The sequence below is a fragment of the Homo sapiens genome, chromosome 16 (assembly GCF_000001405.40).
Source record: "Homo sapiens chromosome 16, GRCh38.p14 Primary Assembly".
Lineage (NCBI taxonomy): Eukaryota > Metazoa > Chordata > Mammalia > Primates > Hominidae > Homo > Homo sapiens.
Window position 1 is genome coordinate 88,259,623 of NC_000016.10, and position 22,387 is coordinate 88,282,009.

Below are 22,387 nucleotides of genomic sequence, written 5' to 3' on the forward strand. Positions count from 1 at the left end.
CCCAGCCTGACAGCCACCCCCAGGCACCGCGCTCTTTCTCCTCCCAAGATGCCTCTCCTCTGCGTCTCACCCCCACCTGCACTCACACCAATGTCCCAGGGTCTCCACACACCGTGGCCCCCAAGCGGCCTCCCCAAAGTCCAGGCGCTGATCCCTCCCTCCAGGGAGAGACCCCTGACCCTGGGGTGGGGGGCTGCAGGCTCCGCCGAAGACCCTCCTGGACATCTGAGCAGCAGAGCTGATGTCTTACTCCTAGGACACAAGCCCCATCCGGACATTTACAGATTTACATATTTTTTCTGTACATCTAAAACTGTTTTAGAATAAAAAGATAAAAAGTCACTTTTTTTTTGTTTTTTTGTTTTTTTGTTTCGAGACAGAGTCTCACTCTGTCACCCAGGCTGGAGTGCAGTGGTAAGATCTTGGCTCACTGAAACCTCCGCCTCCCGGGTTCACGTGATTTTCCTGCCTCAGCCTCCTGAGTGGCTGGGATTACAGGCGCACACCACCACGCCCTGCTAGTGTTTTTTTTTTTTTTTGTATTTTAGTAGAGACAGGGTTTTACCATATTGGTCAGGCTGGTCTCACACTCCTGACCTCAAATGATCCTCCCACCTCGGCCTCCCGAAGTGCTGGGTTGACAGGCGCGAGCCACCGTGCCCAGCCAAAAAGTCGCTTTAAAAAGCATTCGGCTGAATGAGGGAACGAGTGTTTCCACAATACGACACGATGTCAGGCTCAGCCTAAGGCCTTGGACTGAGCAGGTTTCAATGAGCTCTGGGCCCCTGGCCACGGTTGCATCTCCGGCCGTCAGTCCTAAGCCTCGCTCTGGGGACTGTCTAGAGTGGTAGGTGCTGGTCTGGGTGCACACACGTGTCCCTTGTGTTTGCTGCTGGGAGGACGCCGCTCTCACAAATTTTGAGAAATTGGCTGGGTTTAGGAGAGTGGAGGGGCTTTACTCTTTTACAAAACTGCTTGATCTTTGACGTTCTTCTCAATCATGCTCGCGGCTCCGTGTTGACTAGGATATAGAGCTAAATGCCGTCATTTCTTTTCTCCATGATCAAATCTCAAACCCATCTGTACTGGCCCCAGAGATATCAGATCCTAATCCCTGGGACCTGTGAATGCTACTTTACACAGAAAAAAAGGGTCTCTGCAGATGTGATTGAACTGAGGATCTTGAGATGGAAAGATTGTTCTGAACCATGGTGGGGCGGCGTCTGATGGCATCAGGAGGTCCCGATAAGAGGGAACAGAAAGAAGTTTAAGACACGGAGAAAAGGAGGAGGCTGCGTGGCCACGGACGCAGACTCTGGTGTGATGCAGCCATGACCAAAACGCCTGCAGCCCCAGGAAGACAGAAACACGGCGGAGAGGATCAAGTGAAAATGGGGAGCCCGGGCCAGCGTCTGGGGGTCTTGGTGCCTGACGGGGGCTTCCTGGTTCTAACAGCTGGGATGCGGTCCGGAGAGGCTCGAGCACGCTGCCACTATCCCAGGAGGCAATCAGCGATCTCACGCATGGTGGGCGGGACACAGGTGGGCCCTTCTGGGGCCTCAGCTGCTGATGCGGGTGGGAGAGGAAGGAGCCCGCATTTGAGGGAGGCAAAGTGTGCAGAGAGAAACACTTTGAGGTTCCTTTTCCTTGTGAGAAAAGCCCTGGGTGCCACCGCCCCTCACACGGCACCACCTGCCCCTCCCTGTGGCAGAGGCTGTCCCCATTCCATTTTGGGCTGGGGGAGGCTTGTGGTCCAAGGCTAAGGGGTAAGTACATGTGCCGCAGCCCTGGAATGCACAGTAGGTCATGCCCCCCGCTGAGGAATTGCCAGAGGCGGGGGACTTGTCTGATGTCACACCTGGCCTCACCCAGTTCTGCTGACGGATGGGCAGCCACAGGACCCGAAGTCCTGAAGCTTTGGGAAGTATGAGCCTGTCCTCTAGAAGGGCAGGTCCTGGCCTTTGTAAAGAGCTCATTTTGGTGGATTGAGAACCTGGAGAAGTGAAATTAATGAGCTGAAAGTGACACCTGCCTTTGACACAGAAAGTCCACCAGCCGCTCCTCCCCCAGCCCTACCACAGGGCAAGTTCTTGGCCCTGTGCAGGTCTGTCTCGGGTGGGGGCTGCCTCGGTTAACTCCCCTTCCCGTGGCTGTGGGGAGAGGCAGGGAGCAGCTGTAGAAACCAAGAATTCCGTCTGGATCTTCAGGGTGAAGGCTCTTTGCTGGCTGTTCCCTGCTGGTGGCACAGAGGGCTTCTGTGGATGAGGACTCGGAGGCCCCCTCTCTGAGCCCAAGGAAGGCCTCACACCCCAGTGAACCACAGAACAGGGGCCATGGCGCTGCACTGGCTGAAGCTCCGGCCTCCTCTCCCTCCCACCATCTGTGCAGGACGCCCGGCTCATCCCAAACCAACTTCCTGGAGCTTTCCGAGGCCGATCTACGAGTGACAACCAGGTGAGCTGCAGGCTGCACCGACGTTTCCACCTCACTCAGCCTTCTGGATTGTAGAGACTATGTCTCCACTCAGCATTAGTGAAGGAATTGCATTCTTGGGATTGGGGGAATCTGAGGGAAGAGGCCTTTTCCATCCCGGTGGTAGCAGAAGTGGAAATCTGTGCTGGAAATAAAACACCCTGAAATAACAGAAGAACTGGACATACTCCAGAGGGTTTTGAAGAAACCATCCCAGAGCGAGAAGGCAGCCTGGCTGCTCAAAGAGCCGAGGGGTGGGGCGTTTGAACTGCAGTTCAGTGACTGGAGAGGGGCCATTTGGGGCAGTGGCTTCCAAACCAAGTGGCTGGGCTTTGGTGGATGGGGAGCAGTCCATCATAAGCTACAGTTTGCAGGTCACGGATGGCTGCAAATTTCCTCCACGGCTGGAGGAAGATGGGCCCTTCCATGGGGCTGTCTAGGGCTCTGGGGCAGCTCTGGAAAAGACAGCCATGAACTTGGCCACGGGCAGGAGCCTGCAGAGTCCCAGCAGAGACCCCACCACCTGGGGGGCAGAGGCTCCCTATTGGGGTCCCCTCCTGGGGTCCTGGGTCCCCACAGACCAAGCACAGGCCGACAATTTCCCTGCCCTCACGCATCTCGGAAGGCTTGATGCTGGGCAGGGCCAGGGATGCTTCAGTGAGTTCTAAACATTCTCAGTGGATCAAAGATTCTCATAAACAGAGGCCTAAGTGCTTACATGGAAATTCCCAGTGGTTTATCTTGGGAATTAGTTAAGTGCAATAAAACAGGCTTCGGGCAGATCTGCGTCCTGTGGTGGCGTGACCCCCACACAGCCTCCTACGGATGAGCTCTGACCGGCTTGAGTGGGGCTGGGCTCCCTCTCAGTGGAGGAGCGTTTCATTAGCGACAGCTGGGGATCGTTCGCAGAAATGCAGGCGTGGCCCCCGGGAGAAGCAGACCTGTGAAAATCCGGACTTTGAAAATGGAAGTGAAAAAACAAGCTCTGTATGAGAACTAGGAGTCTCCAGGGATTCGTGTCTGAGTTCCTCTCTGTGAAGGAGCTTGCTGGCACTGGTCTGTCCAACCCCGGGGTTTACGGAGACTCAGGTTCCCGGACGATACTGCGTCTCCACGGCGTCCAGCGAAATGCCTCCCCCACCCCACCCAGTTGTTGGGCCTCTGGGGTAGAAAACGAACTAGGGGATTGGGATTCACTGGTGTACTCAACAGATGCATATGAGGCCCTTGTCGCAGGCTGGGCTCTGCCAGGCTGCTGTAGTACGCCGAGGTGAGTCCTCTGTGAATCGGGAACGCCCGCTCCCTGTGTCTGCCCAGAAGGCTGCACTTGTCCTGGGCCGCTCGCGGGAAGAGGTCACCCAGCAGGGAGATGTTCTGTGCCAACGTGTGCGGGGCCCCAAGGAGACAGAGGGAGGGGCAGGCGTGTGGGCCATGGTGGGGTTGGTTGGCTGAGGGCATGGGGTGCCCATGTGGGCAAATCCCTGGGACCTCCTGAGGAGGGTGGATTGGGACTTTGCTGAGAGGCTCAGAAGGGGTCAAGGGTGCAGTGGGCAGCTCAAGCCTCCCTTTTCCGGGGGGTCCAGAGTCGCCAGAGGACCCGTAGCCCCTTGCAGCAGCAGCAGGGGCAGATGGACAGACTTTGTGGGAAGGGCCCTGCAGACACCGCCTCTCCCATCCCAGAGGTGACTGTGAGGCAGAGGAGGAGAGGAGGCCTGCTGAGAACAAACCCTGGGTCCCCCACCTCCGAGACTGATGCGCCGGGCAGAGGCCGCCTTCCTGCCTCCTTGCTGGGGCATCTTCCCCTTCCTGCTGACCTGCGTGGCCATGAGACCCCAGGCTGGGCTGACCAGAGCCCTGGAACAAGCTCACAGAAAGCGCTTCTCCACTTCCCAGGGAGCCTCCTGCCCACACCAGCCTCCCTGTGGCAGGCCCAGTGTCCACACCACGTGTACTCATGGAGCTCGGCCCCTGGGAGACTTACTCCCCACCCCCCAGGACCTGCTCCTGGCACCAAGCTGGCCACAGGGGCCACGTCCTCTGCATGTGGCAGGCCTCAGGGACGGCCCTGCCCACAAGGTCACTCTGCTCCTGGGTCCTCAGGCCCCTTTGCTTCCAGGAGGAGCTTGTCCTTCCTCCTCCCACACCGAAACCCACAGAGAGGAGCGGACGCCCCGTGGCTCCTGCCCTGCCCTAGGCTGGCCACCCCTCATGCAGCTCAACTCCCACGTATTCCTGGGGCCGGGGCAGGCCAGCCCTGATGCCCACCTTCCTCTCTCCCATGGCCCCCTTTGAGGTGAGCCAGCCCTGTCTCCAAGCCTGGGGTGCTGTAGAGATGCCTCCTCCTGTCTGCTGGCTCCAGGACTGTCCCCTGCTCTGCCCCCACCCCAGCCTCCCCACCTGTGCATGTTCACAGAGCCATGGCACCTTCCAATACCTGCTGAGCTCAGCCCTGGCCCCTCATCCCAGCCCCATCTTCCTCCCACATCCTCCTCCCCCCTCATCCCAGCCCCATCTTCCTCCCACATCCCCCTCCCCAGCACCACCGCCTGACCCCTGCATGGCCAGAGGAGACACACCTTTGTCCGGCCTCCCAGCCCAGCCACACCTCAAGCTCAGCACAGGTCCCCGCTCCCCCGAGCCCCTCCCAGTCCAGTCCTGCTCGTCCCACACCTGCTGGGCTTTGGCGCAACCCTAGGCTGCCTGGCCACACGGCCCCCCGCCTCGCACCCTCGCGCCAGGCACAGGCGGTACTGCTCAGATGCTCACTGCGCTGCTTTCCAGTGGGTCTGGGGGCTCCTGAGGGTGACCGTGGCCTCTCCCCCATGTCCTTCCTGTCCTCATCCAGGGAGCGGGCACACAGGGCTGACTGCGGTTCTGTGCTCAGCAAGGGAGACGCCCATTTTCTTCGAGGATTTCCTCTGGCGCTGACCTACTAGATGCGTGGGTTCAAGGGACGGGGGCAGGGCAGAGGAGTTCAGGTTTCGGCAGCTGCCACTCCGCCCTCATCCTGTCAGGGACACCTCAGGCCAAGGCGCTGTCTGGATTTTAGCCAGCAATGGGGAGTCCCGCTCTGCCCTGGCCGCCGCCCACTGTCTCGTGTGAGTGAGTCACCGGCTGCTTCAGCTCCCTCCTCCTCCAGGGGTGACTTCACCCGGTCGGCTCTCACTGACCAAGAAAGGGATCCAAGAAATCAGGGGTGTGGAGGCAGGAGGCCAGGGGCCTTCCTGGGACCCCTCAGGAGGTTCCCCTAGCACCACTCGCAGGCAGAACAGCCCAGCCTCACCCCGAGGGCTGCGGGAGGTGCTGCTAGAAAATCACTTGGGGCTTCCTTTTGGCCTCCCAGTGAGTCATGAGGGCTGCGGCACAGAGGGGCAGGGGGACATCCAGGAGGGCTGGGTGCTCCTGCTGCTGTCCTGGGAGGGGGCACGGCAGTATCCGGCGGGGCCGGGTGCGTCCAGTAAAGGAGTGCGTGCAGCGTGTGGCATCTGAGCAAAGCCAGAGCCACACCGTGTGGCTGGGGACCGCAAACACCTCACTCAGCTCCCCTCAGCCTCAATGTTCCCGTCTGTGAAGTGGGGCACAGGAAACCCGCCCGTCCTGGGTCACAGGGTGCTGCAGGAGCAGACGGGAGTGGGTTGTGCCCTGCGAAACTCTGCACCTCGGGAGGCGGCGCGTCTCTCTCGCAGCCTCACTGGGGTGTGTGTGGCCCAACCAGGGGATCCCCGCTGGCTTCTCCACTCCCTTGGCTGCCTCCAGGCTCAGCAGAGGTGGTTTCTGTCCTTTGGTTTAGATGAAGGTGGTTGGCTCAGCGGAGACCATCTTTCTCTGGTAAATGGGGACAGAGGCCCAGAGGGGGTGGGATTGGCCCAAATTTGCACATGACGGGCCCTGAGTGCCCGGCCAGCTCCCCACCCCCAACAAGCTTGAGCTGCCACCCCTAAGTGCCAGGCTTCCTGGAGGGCCCCTGCCCAGGCAGCAGGCCTGAGTTCCGTGGGGATGGTGGCCTGTGCCCTCCGACAGACACGGGGTTGGCCACTACTGAGGGTCAGCAGCGTGTGAGGCTGGCTGGCCACTGTGAGGCTCAGGAGGGCAGGGGGCCCAGCCCTCCATGGAATGCAGGGCCACTGGGAGGCCGGGTTCACGCTGCAGGGACAGCACCACTGGAGCTATGGGGGGACTTGGGGCCACTGGGAGGCCAGGTCCACGCTGACCACAGGGATGGCACTGCTGGAGCTACAGGGAGGTTGCTGGGGCCGCTCCGGCTGAGCTTCCAGGTGTCAGGCCCCAGGCTCCAGGAGACAGTACGGCCTGTCGTGCACACGAAGGAACCAGGAGCAGGGAAGGTCACTCGTGTCCTCGGGGTCTCACGGTTGCTGGGGTATGTTCAAGTCAAAATAAAAATGTAGAGGCGAATTTCCAAGTTTAACGTTTTATTTGGGAAGAAAGGATTGCATCTTGGGGCATACGTGCCGACCAGGTAAATGGTGGAGGTTGGAGAAGCAGTAGAAGGTTGGTGGTTTTACAAGAAAGGAGAAGGTTACCTATTGCTCTTTGAGAAAGTTCACTGGCGCTGGGAAAGTTCTGAGGACCTGGGACGTGCTGGTCGGTGTGACAGCTGTGAGCAGAATTCCTTCTGGAGTTGGAGCAAGTGACCTCAGCAGCTGTGGATAAAACTGGTCCCAGGTGACAAAAGGCAGTTTCAGCAGCTGGACTTGCAGAGAGTTCCATCCTTGGAGCAGTGTCGTGCCCTGAGTACTTTTCCCCTGCCTTCCGAAGGCAGTTTTAGTTGGTGTGACAAGAATGACACACTTTGTATGATCAGTGTTTATAGGTGTGAGCTTGGTGGCGGGGGCATCCTCTGCAAACTCATCCCAGCCATAACCAGGGGGGCCCTGGAGCAGCAGCCCCCGCCAAGTCCTCGGGAACTGGATTCCAGGCGCTCCGGGTGCCCGGCAAGAGGACCTGGGTGTCCGTGGGTCACGACTCTGGAGCTCACTCTATCTGCCTTCTCCCTGCGGCTCACACTGGCTGGCGGCACCCTCCATCGGCGCCCTCACTCTCTGCGTGTGGTCTGTCCGTGTCACTCATCTGCCCCTGTCACTTTGGCTTATTTATACCTTGCTGCCGAGGGCTTGCTCCTGACCGTGGCTGCCATGGAGCCCCGCCTCCACCCGTCACCACATCGATTCTTTCCCTGTGGCCCCGTTTAAGTGCCCCAGGGAGGAATCTGGCCCAGTGCCTTCTTGCCCAGCCTCACTTCGGTGCCAGTCGCGAAAGCCCAGGGATTGTCTGCCCGGGAGCCCGACGCACACCCCTGGACACAGAAGTGCTGTCCGTTCAGACGTGGTGAGGAGGGGTCCGGGGGCCAGCTCTGCTCATCTCATGCCCAGGGCTGGTCCACCACGGACACAGAGCAGCACGTGGTCAGTGAGGCTGGAAATAAAGAGCCTACTTTTCCCGGCTGAGCTGAGTCCCTTTCGGTTCCAAATGGATTCTGTGTTCCTCCCTCTGGGGCAGGCTGGCCTGGCAGGAGGTCACCACACAGGGCCCCCAGGTGTGGAGTGGGTCCCTGGGGGATAAGGGCTGAGTGGAAATGGAGGGGAGGGTGCACCTGTTGGGGGATTGACTTACCCAAGTCCAGGAGGAGGCTGTACTGGGGGCAGGGGGTCAGCAGGGACACCGTGGCTGTTTGCAGGTCGGGCTGTTTGGGATAATGCAGCGATGAGTGTCCAGTAGGTTTCACTTCACTCACATAGATTCCTTGGGGTGGCACTGCCGGGTCCTGAGTAAGCCGACCTTTCACCTTTTAACAGCACCAGCTGGCTTTCCAAAGCGGCTGAGCCATTTCCCATGCCCCCCGGCAGCAAGGGAACCGATTTCTCCACATTCTTACCGGCTCCTGCCATCCTCTGGGTTTTGATCAGGGTTATTCCAGCAGGTGTGCAGTGGGCTTCGATGCGCTTTTCCCCTCTTCATGGAGGTTGAGCTCCTTTGGATGTGTTTATTTGCCATTGACATGTCGTCTTTGGTGAAATGTCTATTCAAGTCTTTTCCCTATATTTTAAATGTAAACTTTTTACTTTGGAAGAATTTTCTATTTCTAGGACAGTTGTGGCATGAGCCCTGCGTTCCCATGCCCCGTTGTCAGTCTCCCCCTCGCTGGTGTCTTAAGTCTCTGTGGTGCATTTGGCTACCCTGAGAAGATGACGTTGGTCTGTACATCAACAACATTGACTGACTACAGACAAATGTCAGACTTGGTTCTGATTTCAGTCGTTTTTTCACCAACATCTGTGTTCTGTCCCAGGACCCCGTGTGACACTCCATCCCCAGGGCCTCCTCTCAACTGAGACCGTTTCTCAGAATTTCCCTATTTTTGAGGACCTTGACAGTTTTGAAGAGGACCGGCTGAGTATTTTGTGGACTGTCCCTCAATTTGAGTTCTCCTGGCGTTTTTCTCCTGGGTAGAGTGAGATCCTGGGTTTTCAGGAAGAACATGCAGGGGTCAAGTGCTTGGTGCCTCATATCCCCGTGGGGGTTGGCACCGCCAGCAGGACGTGTGGCTGTCGACACTGACCTGGGCCGCTGGGCTGAGGTCACGCTTGTCACACTTCTCTACTCTGTTCTTTGGAAGCAAGTCACTAAGCCCGGGCCACCATAACATTTTTTTTGAGGTAAGCCTGGGAGGGTGCCCCAGACACTCGCTTGAAGTACATCGAATGTTTTCTGTGTGGAAAACGTGCAGCCCGGCCCCCATGAGCTGTGGGACACCAGGCAGGTCACCTCCCCTCTGTGAGCCTCCCCTGAAGAGGGAGGGGATCCTTGGACACATAGAGCCCTGGGCCTGGGCAGTGACATCACATTTAGGCCCTTGGAAGGGCATGGAAGGTCACGGGCTGCCGGGAGGAGAGATGGTATTTCAGTTGACCTAGGAGGGTCTGGGCCATGCAGGGCCTGGGTGAGGGCTGGGTATGCTGGGTCCCTCTGCTCAGCCCTCCCCTTTCTCACAGCCCAGTCTTTCCATGAGGAGCAGGTGAAGGTGGGGCAGGCACGGCAGGCGGGAGCTGGGCTCCACACCAGTGGAACTGGGTTTGAGTCTTTCCACTTTCCACGGCCGGCTGGGGCAAGCTGCATAATTTCTCTGCGCCTTAGCTTCTTTCCCTGCAAAATAGGGATAAAAACTGCACCCAGGCGGCTTGGCCTGTGACAGGTGGGTGCACCCAGGCGGCCGGGCCTATGACAGGTGGGTGCACCCGGACGGCCGGGCCTACAGCAGGTGGGTGCACCCTGGCGGCCGGGCCTGTGGCAGGTGGGTAGAACTGGTGTTTCCCACAGGAGATGAATATCACCCTGCAGCACATTCTTTTTCTTTTTCTTTTCTTTTTCCCAATCCTCATCTTTATTTTTATCTTTTCTCAACATCTTACTATGTGACTTTCCAAACACACGGACCTCTTAAGACCCCTGCACACACTATGGGCCCCGCCTCCACCTGGGCTGCCCAGCTTCCTCCCACCATGTCTGTGTGGCATCCTCCCACCCATCCTTACCGGGACGCTTGTTTAAATCACGTCTTCTGCACCTGCTGGTTGGTATCCTGCTCTCGGGAACTGCTGACCAATCCCCCCAGCACACATTTGCCGGTTTTTCTGTCACCAGGATGGCCCTGTGAGTTGTTACTCTATTCCATGAGTTACAACCTCAGTGGCTTCTGATGGCTCCTGAGGTGGTCAGGAGTGTCCCCACCTTTTCTGAGTGTGTCTGACTTCCCGGCGTAGATGCTCCAGGTGCACCCAGTCATTCTCCTGCCCACGCCCTGGACTCAGCCACTTCTCCATGGAGCCCCGGCTCCTTTAGAGCAGAGTGTTTTCTAGAAACCACCATCCAGGATCTAGGTTCGCGTCCTGCATTTCTAGGTGGTTGTGACATCAGCACTGCCTCCTGTAGACGGGGCAAGCCATCATCAGCTGGAGACTGGCATTCGTTAGTAGCTTTTTTTTCTTGGAGGTAAATTGCGCCTGCAGTGAAATGCCAAATCTTCATGGACCAGAATTCTGGCATGCATCCTCCTGGATGACCCCAAGCCCATGTGGGTAGAGAGAGGGTCTGGCCAGGGCCCTGCTCCCCACCCTGGGCCCAGGGGACTCCAGCTCCTTGACCTTCGGCCTCCCAGCCCTGCCACCCATCCTTCCCAAGGACGTTGAGGGTGAAGGGGAGGAGATCTGGTTGGCTGCTCACAAACCAGCTGGGCCTTTCAGCACCGTGGGCTGATGGCTGTGTGTGCCCATGTGGCCGGCCAGCTCACCAGGGTCCTGGATGCTCGCACCTGCTGCCTGGAGGGTATGGAAAATGGGGACAGCCAGAGGCTCAGGACAAGGCCGGACTCCACATGGCTGCTCAGGGCCTGCTTATCATGCAGACTCCCTGGGCATTTGTGTGCATGCTTCTGTGCCTGAGCTTCCCAGACAGTGACATTCCATCCGTCTGCAGCATACAAAACCAAAGGCTTTTACCATACTCGATGCTTCACAGACTGTGCCCAGATTCCAAGTATCCAAAGCAATCATGCTCACTCCACGGGAAAATTCTCCAGGCTGCTTTCCTCTGCCTCTTGTTTTTCTCTTGGCTTTTGCCTGCTTCTCATTCCTCCTCTCTGGGAAGGAAAAGCCCATCGCTGAACACTTCTGTGTGGTGTTCAAGGCTTTCTATGGAGGGCTAACCGCCAAGAACTTCTGGGCTTTGAGATCAGTGCCGTTGGCTTGAGCCTCCACCCATTTATTCTATCATTTATTCATTCATTCATTCTTGTTTTCAGTTCAGGAACAGACAGTTCAGGTGTGGGTCCCCCCTCTCGGGGCTGGCATCCAGGCTGAGGATTCACGGCCGGTCCACATCCCAGCTCTGGAATCAGACAGGCCTGGGTTGGGATTCAGCTCAGTTGTTCACTGTGTGACTTGGAATGAGTCGCATTCCCTCTCTGAGCCTCAGGGGTCCTCCTCTATAAGAGGGGGATGGTAACAGAACCTGCCTTATAGGGTTGTTGAAAGGATTCAGTGAGATTCTGCACAGAATGCTCGAGCCCAGGCCTGGCTTCCCGGAGAGCGTGTTGACGTTAGTCACCGTCATCATCTTTGTTGGTAATAACAGACCCTGCGGAAAAGCTATTGTGCAGAATTTGGACAAAGTACGTGGGAATGTGGCAACATGTGCAGCTGCTCTTCCCCCAGGGAGGGGGTTAGGGCCGGGGCCGGGGTCAGAGGCGGCTTCGCAGACCATGAGGGTGATTTGTGAGAAGGTGGCCTAGACTAGAACAGCCCAGACAGAGGCATGAAGTGTGGGGAGCCGTGTGAGTTCACAGTGGGCGGACTGGCTTCCAGGGCTGGGCTGCAAAGGTCTCGAAGGCCTCAGTAGGACGGCATGTGTGGCACGTGGAAAGGAAGCTGCCTGATGACGCTGCTTGCTCCCAACAGGGTCTGAGACTAGAGCATCCAGGGGGCCAGGCCCCAACAGCAGGAATCCCCATGGAGCTCAGAGCAGAGCTGCATGCAGGAATCAACAAAGGGTCAGAGCGAAGGTGAGGCAGGGGAGCTGAGTCACCACAGCAGGCAGGTCCAATGGAGACTAAGTAGGAACTGACCATCAAGAACTCAACAGAGTTGGGAACAGACAGGGCTGGGGCACAGTGTCAGATTCTAGACGTGGCAGGGCTCTCAGGGGTGGGTGGATGGATGGTGGGTGGTTGGGTAGATGGATGAATTGTGGATAAATGGGTGGGTGGATGGATATATGAATGAGTGAGTGGATGGACAGATGGATGGATGGGTGTATGGGTAGATGAGTGGGTGGATGGATGAATTGTGGATAAATGGGTAGGTGAATGGATAGATGAGTGGTTGGGTAGTTGAATGGGTGGACAGACGGATGGATTTATGAGTGGGTGAATGAATGAACTGGGGATAAATAGGTGGGTAGATGGATAGATAAATGGGTGGATGGATGAATAGATGAGTGGGTAGATGGATGAATTTTGGGTAAATGGGTAGGTGGATGGATAGACGAGTGGGTGGGTAGATGGATGGGTGGGTGGATGAATTGCGGGTTGTTAGATGGATGGATAAATGGATGTGTGGATGAGTAGATGGATGGATGAGAAGTAATGAATGGATATGTGGATAGACGAATGGGTGGGTGGATGGATGGGTGGGTGGGTGGGAGGATGTATGCATGCTGGGTGGTTAGATGGGTGGATGAATGAGTGGGTTGATGTAGATGGATGGATGGGTGGGTAGGTGGATGGATGGTGACTGGATGGATGAATGGTGGATAAATGGTGTGGATGGTTGTATGCTGGGTGGTGAGATAGATGAATGAACAGGGGGGTGTATGGATAGATGAGTGGATAGATGAATGAACAGGGGGGTGTATGGATAGATGAGTGGATAGATGAATGAACAGGTGGGTGTATGGAGAGATGAGTGGATAGATGAATGAACAGGTTGGTGTATGGATGGACGAGTGGATAGATGAATGAACAGGTGGGTATATGGGTAGACGAGTGGACAGATGAATGAACGGGTGGGTGTATGGATAGACGAGTGGACGGATGGATGAACGGGTGGGTGTATGGATAGACGAGTGGACGGATGGATGAACGGGTGGGTGTGTGGATAGACGAGTGGACAGGTGGATGAACGGGTGGGTGTGTGGATAGACGAGTGGGCAGATGGATGAACAGGTGGGTGTGTGGATAGACGAGTGGACGGATGGATGAATGGGTGGGTGTGTGGATAGACGAGTGGACGGGTGGATGAACGGGTGGGTGTGTGGATAGACGAGTGGACGGATGGATGAACGGGTGGGTGTGTGGATAGACGAGTGGACGGATGGATGAACGGGTGGGTGTGTGGATAGACGAGTGGACGGATGGATGAATGGGTGGGTGTGTGGATAGACGAGTGGATAGATGGATGAACGGTGGATAAATGGGTGGATGGATAGATAGACTGGTGGGTAGGTGGACAGGCAGGCACATGGCTGGATGAGTGAGTGGGTGGATGGATAGCTGGATAGATAGATAGATGGATGGGTGAGTGAATGGATGCATGAATGAAGTTGCCAGTTGAAACCACTTGCTGCAATCCTGTGTGGTGTTATGCTAGAAAAGAATGACCTTCAGAGGAAAACAGTCATGGTTCTGTCCCTCACAACCACATTACTCTGCAGTAGTTCCTCAATAATATCCATCCAACAAAGGATTTTTATATAGAACTTATTTTACAAAGTCGTGCACATGAAAAGACGCACAATATCACTAATCATTGGGAAATGCAAATCAAAACCACACTGACATACCACCTCACGCCCATTAAGATAATTACCATAAAACACAAAGCTAAACCAGAAAATAACATGTGTTGGCAAGGACGTAGGGACACTGGAACCCTCCTGCAAGGTTGGTGGGAATGTAAATGGCACCGCATCTGTGGAAGACGGTATGGAAGTTCCTCAAAAAATTAAAACTATATCTGCTTTATGATTCAGCCACTTTTGTGTACATACCCAAATGAACTGAAAGCTGAGGTCCAAAGAAACATCCGCACACCCATGTTCACAGCAGCACTATTCACAACTGCTAAAAGGTGGAAGAAATTCAGTGTCCGTGGACAGGTGAATGGATACATACAATGTGGTGTATTCACACTGTGGAATATTTTTTTTTTTTTTTTTTGAGACGGAGTCTCGCTCTGTCGCCCAGGCTGGAGTGCAGTGGCGCGATCTCGGCTCACTGCAAGCTCCGCCTCCCGGGTTCACGCCATTCTCCTGCCTCAGCCTCCCGTGTAGCTGGACTACAGGCACCTGCCACCATGCTCGGCTAATTTTTTGTATTTTTAGTAGAGACGGGGTTTCACCATATCGGCCATGATGGTCTCGATCTCCTGACCTCGTGATCCGCCTGCCTCGGCCTCCCAAAGTGCTGGGATTACAGGCGTGAGCCACCGCGCCTGGCCAGAATATTTTTTATTCAGCCTTAAGAAACTCTGACACATGCTACTGCATGGACGGACCCTGAGGACATTCTGCTCAATGAAATAAGCCAGACACAAAAAGACAAAAACTGTCTAATACCCATGGTGTGAGGTCCCTAGAGCAGTGAGATTCACAGGGCTGGGAAGTTAGTCTTTAATGGAGACAGAGTTTCAGTTGGAAAGCTGAAGAGAGTTCTGTGGATGGTGGTGGTGATTGCACAATGCCGGAAACGTGTTTGATGCCACTGAACTGCTTACTCAGAAATGGCTAAAGTGGTAAATTTTATGTTATGTGTATTTTACCACAATAAAAGATAGAAATATAAGTCTCATAGACATGGTGTTGCATGAAGTCACATGCTTCTGGTGTGACCGCACCAATAGAAGTTTCACAACAGATCAGCCCACCCTCTGCCTTCAGAAGACAGGCTGGTGTCCGGGCGGGGCCCCCGGGGAGGGCAGGCCGTGTCCTGATTCTGGATCGGGCTCTGGTGACATGCGTGTGCTCTGTGTGAAAAGGCCGTGGGGGTGTGCTTGCTTGCTCATTTTTCTGTGTTTCTGTTATCCTTGGAAGAAGGTTTTAAAACTACAGAATTCAGTTCAATTCTGCTATTCAGTTATTAGAGTAAAGGACACTTCTTTCACCGTAGCTTCATGGAGGACTCGCCGTATTGCCTTAGCCCTCACTCATGGCCGTAGGATCCTGAGAACCTTCTCATGGACCTGACATGGTTCGCAGACGGACACTGGCAAACATTGCTTATGGGGCAGCACTGGCCCCCAGGCAACAGCCGAGCTGTTTTACAAACAGCGTATACACGCTTGGACACTCGCTCGCACACATGCCAACACTCTGATTTAAAAACTAAAAAGGAGCAAAGTTGCCTTAAAGACAGAGTGAGTGTGTGGGAGGGGGTTTCCGGGAAGCCTGGGTGTCCCCACCCCCATGTCTGTGGGCTGGAGAGATAGGGCACAAATGCTCCCACGAGCTCTGCAACCTGGAAACGATTAATTAATTAGACAGTGGAGACGGGAGCCTGCCGCGCATTTGGCCTCTGCAGGCAGCTGCTTTTTTATGTCTCGCTGACAGTCCGAACGATCCTACATAAAATGGGGAGGGGCCGGCGAGCACCTGGGGAGGCCGAACAGTGGATCCCAGCAAGCACAGCCACCATGCAAAGACCCCAGCCTCCGGTGCTCTGCACTTTTACATGTAAAACATCACCAGAGACAAGAAAACATGTCTTTGGAAGCTACCTGGGTTACTTGGAGTCATGGGTGCTGAGTTAGCTGGAGTTAGCTGGGGTGACGGGTGCTGAGGAAGGCACCAAGAATCCAGTGCTCCTGAGATCCCCTCAGAGCCACAGCTCCTGCCGCCACCCACCTTCCGGGGCGTTGATGGCGGGAGGGTGCCTGGAGTGGCTCGGGCCCTCACAGCATCCTTCCACCTCTGTCATCACCCTGAGAGGGAGGCGCGGCTTTCTCCTCATGACTAGAGTGGGTACACTGAGGCACTGAAAGACCAGGCTGGTGTCCAGGCTGCTGGCTCTGAATCCCATGCAGCTTCTAAACCGGTGTTTGTCACGAGCCTGATTTCCTCCTTCCCCCAAACCCCAAAGCCTCCCAGGACCCTGGTTAGGGAAGGAAGTGTGGGGCTGGCAGCGTGGTCCTGACTCTTGTTGCGGCATGGCGGAGGGGATAAGACCCCCCCAGGAGGCGGGGCACAGGGGAACAGGGGAAGGTGTCTCCCCAGCCCCTGGCTCACACAGCCCAAGTGAGACACAGAGTCCTGTAAGATGGAGACCAAGGGGCTGGAAAACACGGGAACAGGCCCATAAAGTGCAGAGTCCATCCTGGGAGGCCGTGGCAGCGACCCCGGCAGGACCACAGCGCTGCAGTCCTTCCCCCAGCATGATGCCGCCTGGCACCCTCCAACAGGCTCCACATGGGCCAGCAAGTGGACACCCCCTCTGGGGCACAGTGCAACGACCAAACAGAGTGATCCAGACTTAGATGCCATCCTGGGGGTGGGGGATGGGGTGAGAAAACGAGGCCCCTGCACAGGAGTCAAGGCCACAGAAAGCTGGATGGGCAGGTCCTGGGATGGCCAGGCCCCTGTGCGTGTAAGCGAGTGTGCTAAAACCATCCAAGCACACTCGCTGGATATGGAGTGGGGGTGCAGCAAGCAGGGGGGATTGGGAGGAAAGTCAGTGCATTTCAGACAAGCGCCATCAAGCTGGCCCCTCTCCTCCACGGGGCCTGGCAACTGCCCACCCTGGGGGGCTGCACCCTACTGGTTTCCCCAGCACCCCCGCCGAGCACCTCAGCCTAAATGTCTGTGTGTGATTTGCAGAGTCCTCCGGAGGCTGAGAGCAAACGGCTGCACTAGGAACCCAGCAGTCAGACCGGCCCCCACCCTGGAGTGAACACATCGCCACTGCCAGGCATCACAGGGGTAAGGAGCGGTTTTCTCTTCTCTTTAAAGCTTGATTTCGCGTCACGTCCTGCCTTTTTCCTTATGTTTATTGTCACGGGCTGTATCGCATGAAGACAGTGCACGAGTTAGTACTGGAATCATAGCAGTGCATGGGTCAGTGCTGCACCACGCTGACACTCAGTCAGGACCCTGTAGATGTCATTAGTGCCACCCTACGCTGACACTAGGTCAGTACCAGGTAGATATCATTAGTGCTGCGCCACGCCGACACTTGGTCAGTACTGTGTAGATATCATTAGTGCTGTGCCACGCTGACGCTCGGTCAGTACCATGTAGATATCATTAGTGCTGTGCCACACTTATGCTCAGTCAGTACCATGTAGATATCAGTGCGTGGTTAGTGCTGCGCCACGCCAACACTCGGTCAGTACCATGTAGATATCATTAGTGCTGTGCCACGCTGACGCTTGGTCAGTACCATGTATATATCATTAGTGTTGCACCACACTGATGCTCAGTCTGTACTGTGTAGATGTCAGTGCACGGTTAGTGCTGTGCCACGCTGACGCTTGGTCAGTACCGTGTAGATATCAGTGCACGGTTAGTGCTGCACCACACCGACGCTCAGTCAGTACCGTGTAGATATCAGTGCACGGTTAGTGCTGTGCCACACCGACGCTCAGTCAGTACCGTGTAGATATCAGTGCATGGTTAGTGCTGCGCCACGCCGACGCTCAGTCAGTACCATGTAGATATCAGTGCACGGTTAGTGCTGCACCACGCTGACGCTCAGTCAGTACCGTGTAGATATCATTAGTGCTGTGCCACGCTGACACTCGGTCAGTACCATGTAGATATCAGTGCACGGTTAGTGCTGCACCACACTGACGCTTGGTCAGTACCATGTAGATATCATTAGTGCTGTGCCACGCTGACACTCGGTCAGTACCGTGTAGATATCAGTGCACGGTTAGTGCTGCGCCACGCCGACACTCGGTCAGTACCGTGTAGATATCAGGGCACGGTTAGTGCTGCACCACGCTGATGCTCCGTCAGTACTGTGTAGATAGCAGTGCATGGTTAGTGCTGTGCCACGCTGACACTCAGTCAGTACCATGTAGATATCAGTGCACGGTTAGTGCTGCACCACACTGACGCTTGGTCAGTACCATGTAGATATCATTAGTGCTGTGCCACGCTGACACTCGGTCAGTACCGTGTAGATATCAGTGCACGGTTAGTGCTGCGTCACACCGACGCTCGGTCAGTACCATGTAGATATCAGTGCAGTTAGTGCTGTGCGACGCTGACGCTCAGTCAGTACCACGTAGATATCAGTGCACGGTTAGTGCTGTGCCACGCTGACACTTGGTCAGTACCGTGTAGATATCAGTGCACGGTTAGTGCTGCGCCACCCTGACACTCGGTCAGTACCTTGTAGATATCAGTGCACAGTTAGTGCTGTGCCACGCCGACGCTCGGTCAGTACCATGTAGATATCATTAGTGCTGTGCCACGCTGACACTCGGTCAGTACCATGTAGATATCAGTGCACAGTTAGTGCTGCACCACACTGACGCTTGGTCAGTACCATGTAGATATCATTAGTGCTGTGCCACGCTGACACTCGGTCAGTACCGTGTAGATATCAGTGCACGGTTAGTGCTGCGTCACACCGACGCTCGGTCAGTACCATGTAGATATCAGTGCAGTTAGTGCTGTGCGACGCTGACGCTCAGTCAGTACCACGTAGATATCAGTGCACGGTTAGTGCTGTGCCACGCTGACACTTGGTCAGTACCGTGTAGATATCAGTGCACGGTTAGTGCTGCGCCACCCTGACACTCGGTCAGTACCTTGTAGATATCAGTGCACAGTTAGTGCTGTGCCACGCCGACGCTCGGTCAGTACCATGTAGATATCATTAGTGCTGTGCCACGCTGACACTCGGTCAGTACCATGTAGATATCAGTGCACAGTTAGTGCTGCACCACACTGACGCTTGGTCAGTACCATGTAGATATCATTAGTGCTGTGCCACGCTGACACTCGGTCAGTACCGTGTAGATATCAGTGCACGGTTAGTGCTGCCTCACGCCGATGCTCGGTCAGTACCATGTAGATATCAGTGCAGTTAGTGCTGTGCGACACTGACGCTCAGTCAGTACCACGTAGATATCAGTGCACGGTTAGTGCTGCGCCACGCCGACACTTGGTCAGTACCGTGTAGATATTAATGCACGGTTAGTGCTGTGCCACGCTGACACTCGGTCAGTACCTTGTAGATATCAGTGCACAGTTAGTGCTGTGCCACGCCGACACTCGGTCAGTACCGTGTAGATATCAGTGCACGGTTAGTGCTGTGCCACGCTGACACTCGGTCAGTAGCGTGTAGATATCATTAGTGCACAGTTAGTGGTGTGCCACGCTGACACTGGGACAGTACCATGTAGATATCATTAGTGCTGTACCACGCCAACGCTCAGTCAGTACTGTGTAGATATCAGTGCATGGTTAGTGCTGCGCCATGCCGACACTTGGTCAGTACTGTGTAGATATCACTGCACGGTTAGTGCTGCACCACGCCGACACTTGGTCAGTACCGTGTAGATATCAGTGCACGGTTAGTGCTGCGCCACGCTGACACTCGGTCAGTACCTTGTAGATATCACTGCACGGTTAGTGCTGTGCCACGCCGATGCTCGGTCAGTACCGTGTAGATATCAGTGCACAGTTAGTGCTGTGCCATGCTGACACTCGGTCAGTACCTTGTAGATATCAGTGCACGGTTAGTGCTACGCCATGCTGACGCTCAGTCAGTACCTTGTAGATATCAGTGCACGGTTAGTGCTGTGCCACACTGACACTCGGTCAGTACCATGTAGATATGATTAGTGCTGTGTCACGCCGACGCTCGGTCAGTACCGTGTAGATATCAGTGCACAGTTAGTGCTGTGCCACACTGACACTCGGTCAGTACCTTGTAGATATCAGTGCACGGTTAGTGCTGCACCACACTGACACTCGGTCAGTACCGTGTAGATATCAGTGCACGGTTAGTGCCGCGCCACACTGACACTCGGTCAGTACCATGTAGATATCAGTGCACAGTTAGTGCTGTGCCACACTGACACTCGGTCAGTACCTTGTAGATATCAGTGCACGGTTAGTGCTGCGCCACACTGACACTCGGTCAGTACCGTGTAGATATCAGTGCACAGTTAGTGCTGTGCCACGCTGACACTCGGTCAGTACCTTGTAGATATCAGTGCACGGTTAGTGCTGTGCCATGCTGACACTCGGTCAGTACCGTGTAGATATCAGTGCACAGTTAGTGCTGCACCACGCCGACACTCGGTCAGTACCGTGTAGATATCAGTGCACGGTTAGTGCTGCGCCACGCTGACACTCGGTCAGTACCATGTAGATATCAGTGCACGGTTAGTGCTGTGCCATGCTGACACTCAGTCAGTACCGTGTAGATATCAGTGCACGGTTAGTGCTGCATCACGCCGACACTCAGTCGGTACCGTGTACATATCAGTGCATGGTTAGTGCTGTGCCATGCTGACGCTCGGTCAGTACTGTGTAGATATCAGTGCACGGTTAGTGCTGCACCACGCTGACGCTTGGTCAGTACTGTGTAGACATCAGTGCACGGTTAGTACTGCACCACCCTGACGCTCAGTCAGTACTGTGTAGATATCAGTGCACGGTTAGTGCTGTGCCACAGTGACAGTCAGTATCGTGTAGATATCAGTGCACAGTTAGTGCTGCGCTACGCCGACACTTGGTCAGTACTGTGCTGATGTTGGTGCACAGATCAGTGCTGTGCCACACCAACGCTTAGTCAGTACCTTGCACAGGTTAGTGCTGTGCCACACCAATGCTTGGTCAGTACCGTGTTGATTTTGGTGCACTTGTTGGTGCTGTGCCACCCTGATGCTTGGTCAGTCCCATGCCGATGTCAGCACACGGGTTGGTGCTGTGCCACGCTGATGCTTGATCAGTACTATGCTGATGTTGGTGCACAGGTTAGTGCTGTGCCACACCAACGCTTGGTCAGTACCATGTAGATATCAGTGCATGGGTTAGTGTTGTGCCACACTCAAACTTGGTCAGTACCATGCATGGGTTAGTGCTGTGCCACACCGATGCTTGGTCAGTACCATGTTGATTTTGTTGCACGTGTTGGTGCTGTGTCACCCTGATGCTTGGTCAGTCCCATGCCAATGTCAGCACATAGGTTGGTGCTGTGCCACCCTGATGCTTGGTCAGTACTGTGCTGGTGTCGGTGCACAGGTTAGCGCTGTGCCACACCAACACTCAGTCAGTACCATGTAGATATCAGTGCATGGGTTAGTGCTGTGCTATGCTGATGCTTGGTCAGTACCATGCATTGGTTAGTGCTGTGCCACACCGATGCTTGGTCAGTACCGTGTCAATTTTGGCACACAGATTAGTGCTGGGCCATGCTGACGCTTGGTCAGTACTGTGCCGATGTTGGCTCACAGGTTAGTGCTGTGCCACACCAATGCTTGGTCAGTACCGTGTCAATTTTGGTGCGTGGGTTAATGCTGTGCCACACTGATGCTTGGTCAGTACTGTGCTGATGTCGGTGCACAGGTTAGTGCTGTGCTATGCTGACGCTTGGTCAGTACCATGCACGGGTTAGTGCTGTGCCACACCGATTCTTGGTCAGTACCGTGTCATTTTGGTGCGTGGGTTAATGCTGTGCCACACTGATGCTTGGTCAGTACTGTGCTGATGTCGGTGCACAGGTTAGTGCTGTGCCACACCAATGCTCAGTCAGTACCATGTAGATATCAGTGCATGGGTAAGTGCTGTGCCACACTGACGCTTGGTCAGTACCATGCATGGGTTAGTGCTGTGCCACACCGATGCTTGGTCAGTACCGTGTCAATTTTGGCGCACAGATTAATGCTGGGCCATGCTGACGCTTGGTCAGTACTGTGCCGATGTTGGCTCACAGGTTAGTGCTGTGCCACACCAATGCTTGGTCAGTACCGTGTCAATTTTGGTGCGTGGGTTAATGCTGTGCCACACCGATGCTTGGTCAGTACTGTGCTGATGTCGGTGCACAGGTTAGTGCTGTGCCACACCAACACTCGGTCAGTACCATGTAGATATCAGTGCATGGGTTAGTGCTGTGCCACACTGACGCTTGGTCAGTACCATGCATGGGTTAGTACTGTGCCACACCGATGCTTGGTCAGTACTGTGTCAATTTTGGCACACAGGTTGGTGCTGTGCCATGCTGACGCTTGGTCAGTACTGTGCTGATGTCAGTGCACAGGTTAGTGCTGTGCCACACTGATGCTTGGTCAGTAGTGTCTGGATATTGGTGCACGGGTCAGTGCATGGATTGTACTGCGAGATGTTGAGCACGAGTTCATATCATGCTGATGCTGGTGCATGGGTTAGTTAGTAC

At 55.2% G+C, this 22,387-nt stretch overlaps 2 protein-coding genes and 1 long non-coding RNA gene across 4 annotated transcripts in view, besides 8 other annotated features; 1 reads left to right on the forward strand and 2 right to left on the reverse strand.

Annotated features, from left to right (window-relative positions):
• Positions 1–22,387, forward strand: part of ZNF469 (zinc finger protein 469) — a 339,823-nt gene that overhangs the window by 158,692 nt on the left and 158,744 nt on the right. The window contains exon 2 of the mRNA XM_047434810.1: positions 16,852–16,953. The gene's annotated coding sequence lies outside the window, so the exon portion shown is untranslated. The remainder of the gene's footprint in view (positions 1–16,851; positions 16,954–22,387) is intronic.
• On the reverse strand, positions 525–4,918 carry LOC124900374 (uncharacterized). Its single transcript, XM_047435026.1, has 2 exons — positions 3,191–4,918; positions 525–2,612 (listed from the first exon to the last, which is right to left on the reverse strand). The coding sequence occupies exon 1, from the start codon at positions 4,426–4,428 to the stop codon at positions 3,469–3,471; it is 960 nt and encodes a 319-aa protein (XP_047290982.1). The 5' UTR covers positions 4,429–4,918; the 3' UTR covers positions 525–2,612; positions 3,191–3,468.
• On the reverse strand, positions 932–5,512 carry LOC107984862 (uncharacterized). 2 transcript variants are annotated; one of them, NR_171662.1, is made up of 3 exons: positions 5,239–5,512; positions 3,191–3,413; positions 932–2,927 (listed from the first exon to the last, which is right to left on the reverse strand). It is a non-coding gene; the product is annotated as an uncharacterized LOC107984862 (long non-coding RNA). The 2 variants fall into 2 exon arrangements; NR_171663.1 differs by having other exon boundaries at positions 932–2,617; positions 5,143–5,512.
• Positions 1,001–1,866: an enhancer, noted in NCBI's record as "H3K4me1 hESC enhancer chr16:88294229-88295094 (GRCh37/hg19 assembly coordinates)". NCBI's record gives its function as "activates a minimal SCP1, AML or CMV promoter by ChIP-STARR-seq in naive and primed H9 embryonic stem cells {active_cell/tissue: H9 hESC(naive and primed)}" and the evidence as "EXISTENCE:reporter gene assay evidence [ECO:0000049][PMID:30033119]".
• Positions 4,963–6,162: an enhancer, noted in NCBI's record as "P300/CBP strongly-dependent group 1 enhancer chr16:88298191-88299390 (GRCh37/hg19 assembly coordinates)". NCBI's record gives its function as "activates an origin of replication core promoter dependent on BRD2, BRD4, P300/CBP, MED14 and CDK7 cofactors, with strong dependence on P300/CBP, by STARR-seq in HCT116 cells {active_cell/tissue: HCT116}" and the evidence as "EXISTENCE:reporter gene assay evidence [ECO:0000049][PMID:35650434]".
• Positions 4,963–6,767: a biological region, named in NCBI's record as "P300/CBP strongly-dependent group 1 enhancer GRCh37_chr16:88298191-88299390".
• Positions 5,160–5,964: an enhancer, noted in NCBI's record as "H3K27ac-H3K4me1 hESC enhancer chr16:88298388-88299192 (GRCh37/hg19 assembly coordinates)". NCBI's record gives its function as "activates a minimal SCP1, AML or CMV promoter by ChIP-STARR-seq in naive H9 embryonic stem cells {active_cell/tissue: H9 hESC(naive)}" and the evidence as "EXISTENCE:reporter gene assay evidence [ECO:0000049][PMID:30033119]".
• Positions 5,556–5,705: an enhancer, noted in NCBI's record as "active region_11350". NCBI's record gives its function as "activates an Ori minimal core promoter by ATAC-STARR-seq in GM12878 lymphoblastoid cells {active_cell/tissue: GM12878}" and the evidence as "EXISTENCE:reporter gene assay evidence [ECO:0000049][PMID:35858748]".
• Positions 5,965–6,767: an enhancer, noted in NCBI's record as "H3K27ac-H3K4me1 hESC enhancer chr16:88299193-88299995 (GRCh37/hg19 assembly coordinates)". NCBI's record gives its function as "activates a minimal SCP1, AML or CMV promoter by ChIP-STARR-seq in naive H9 embryonic stem cells {active_cell/tissue: H9 hESC(naive)}" and the evidence as "EXISTENCE:reporter gene assay evidence [ECO:0000049][PMID:30033119]".
• Positions 11,892–12,398: an enhancer, noted in NCBI's record as "H3K4me1 hESC enhancer chr16:88305120-88305626 (GRCh37/hg19 assembly coordinates)". NCBI's record gives its function as "activates a minimal SCP1, AML or CMV promoter by ChIP-STARR-seq in naive and primed H9 embryonic stem cells {active_cell/tissue: H9 hESC(naive and primed)}" and the evidence as "EXISTENCE:reporter gene assay evidence [ECO:0000049][PMID:30033119]".
• Positions 15,032–15,837: an enhancer, noted in NCBI's record as "H3K4me1 hESC enhancer chr16:88308260-88309065 (GRCh37/hg19 assembly coordinates)". NCBI's record gives its function as "activates a minimal SCP1, AML or CMV promoter by ChIP-STARR-seq in naive H9 embryonic stem cells {active_cell/tissue: H9 hESC(naive)}" and the evidence as "EXISTENCE:reporter gene assay evidence [ECO:0000049][PMID:30033119]".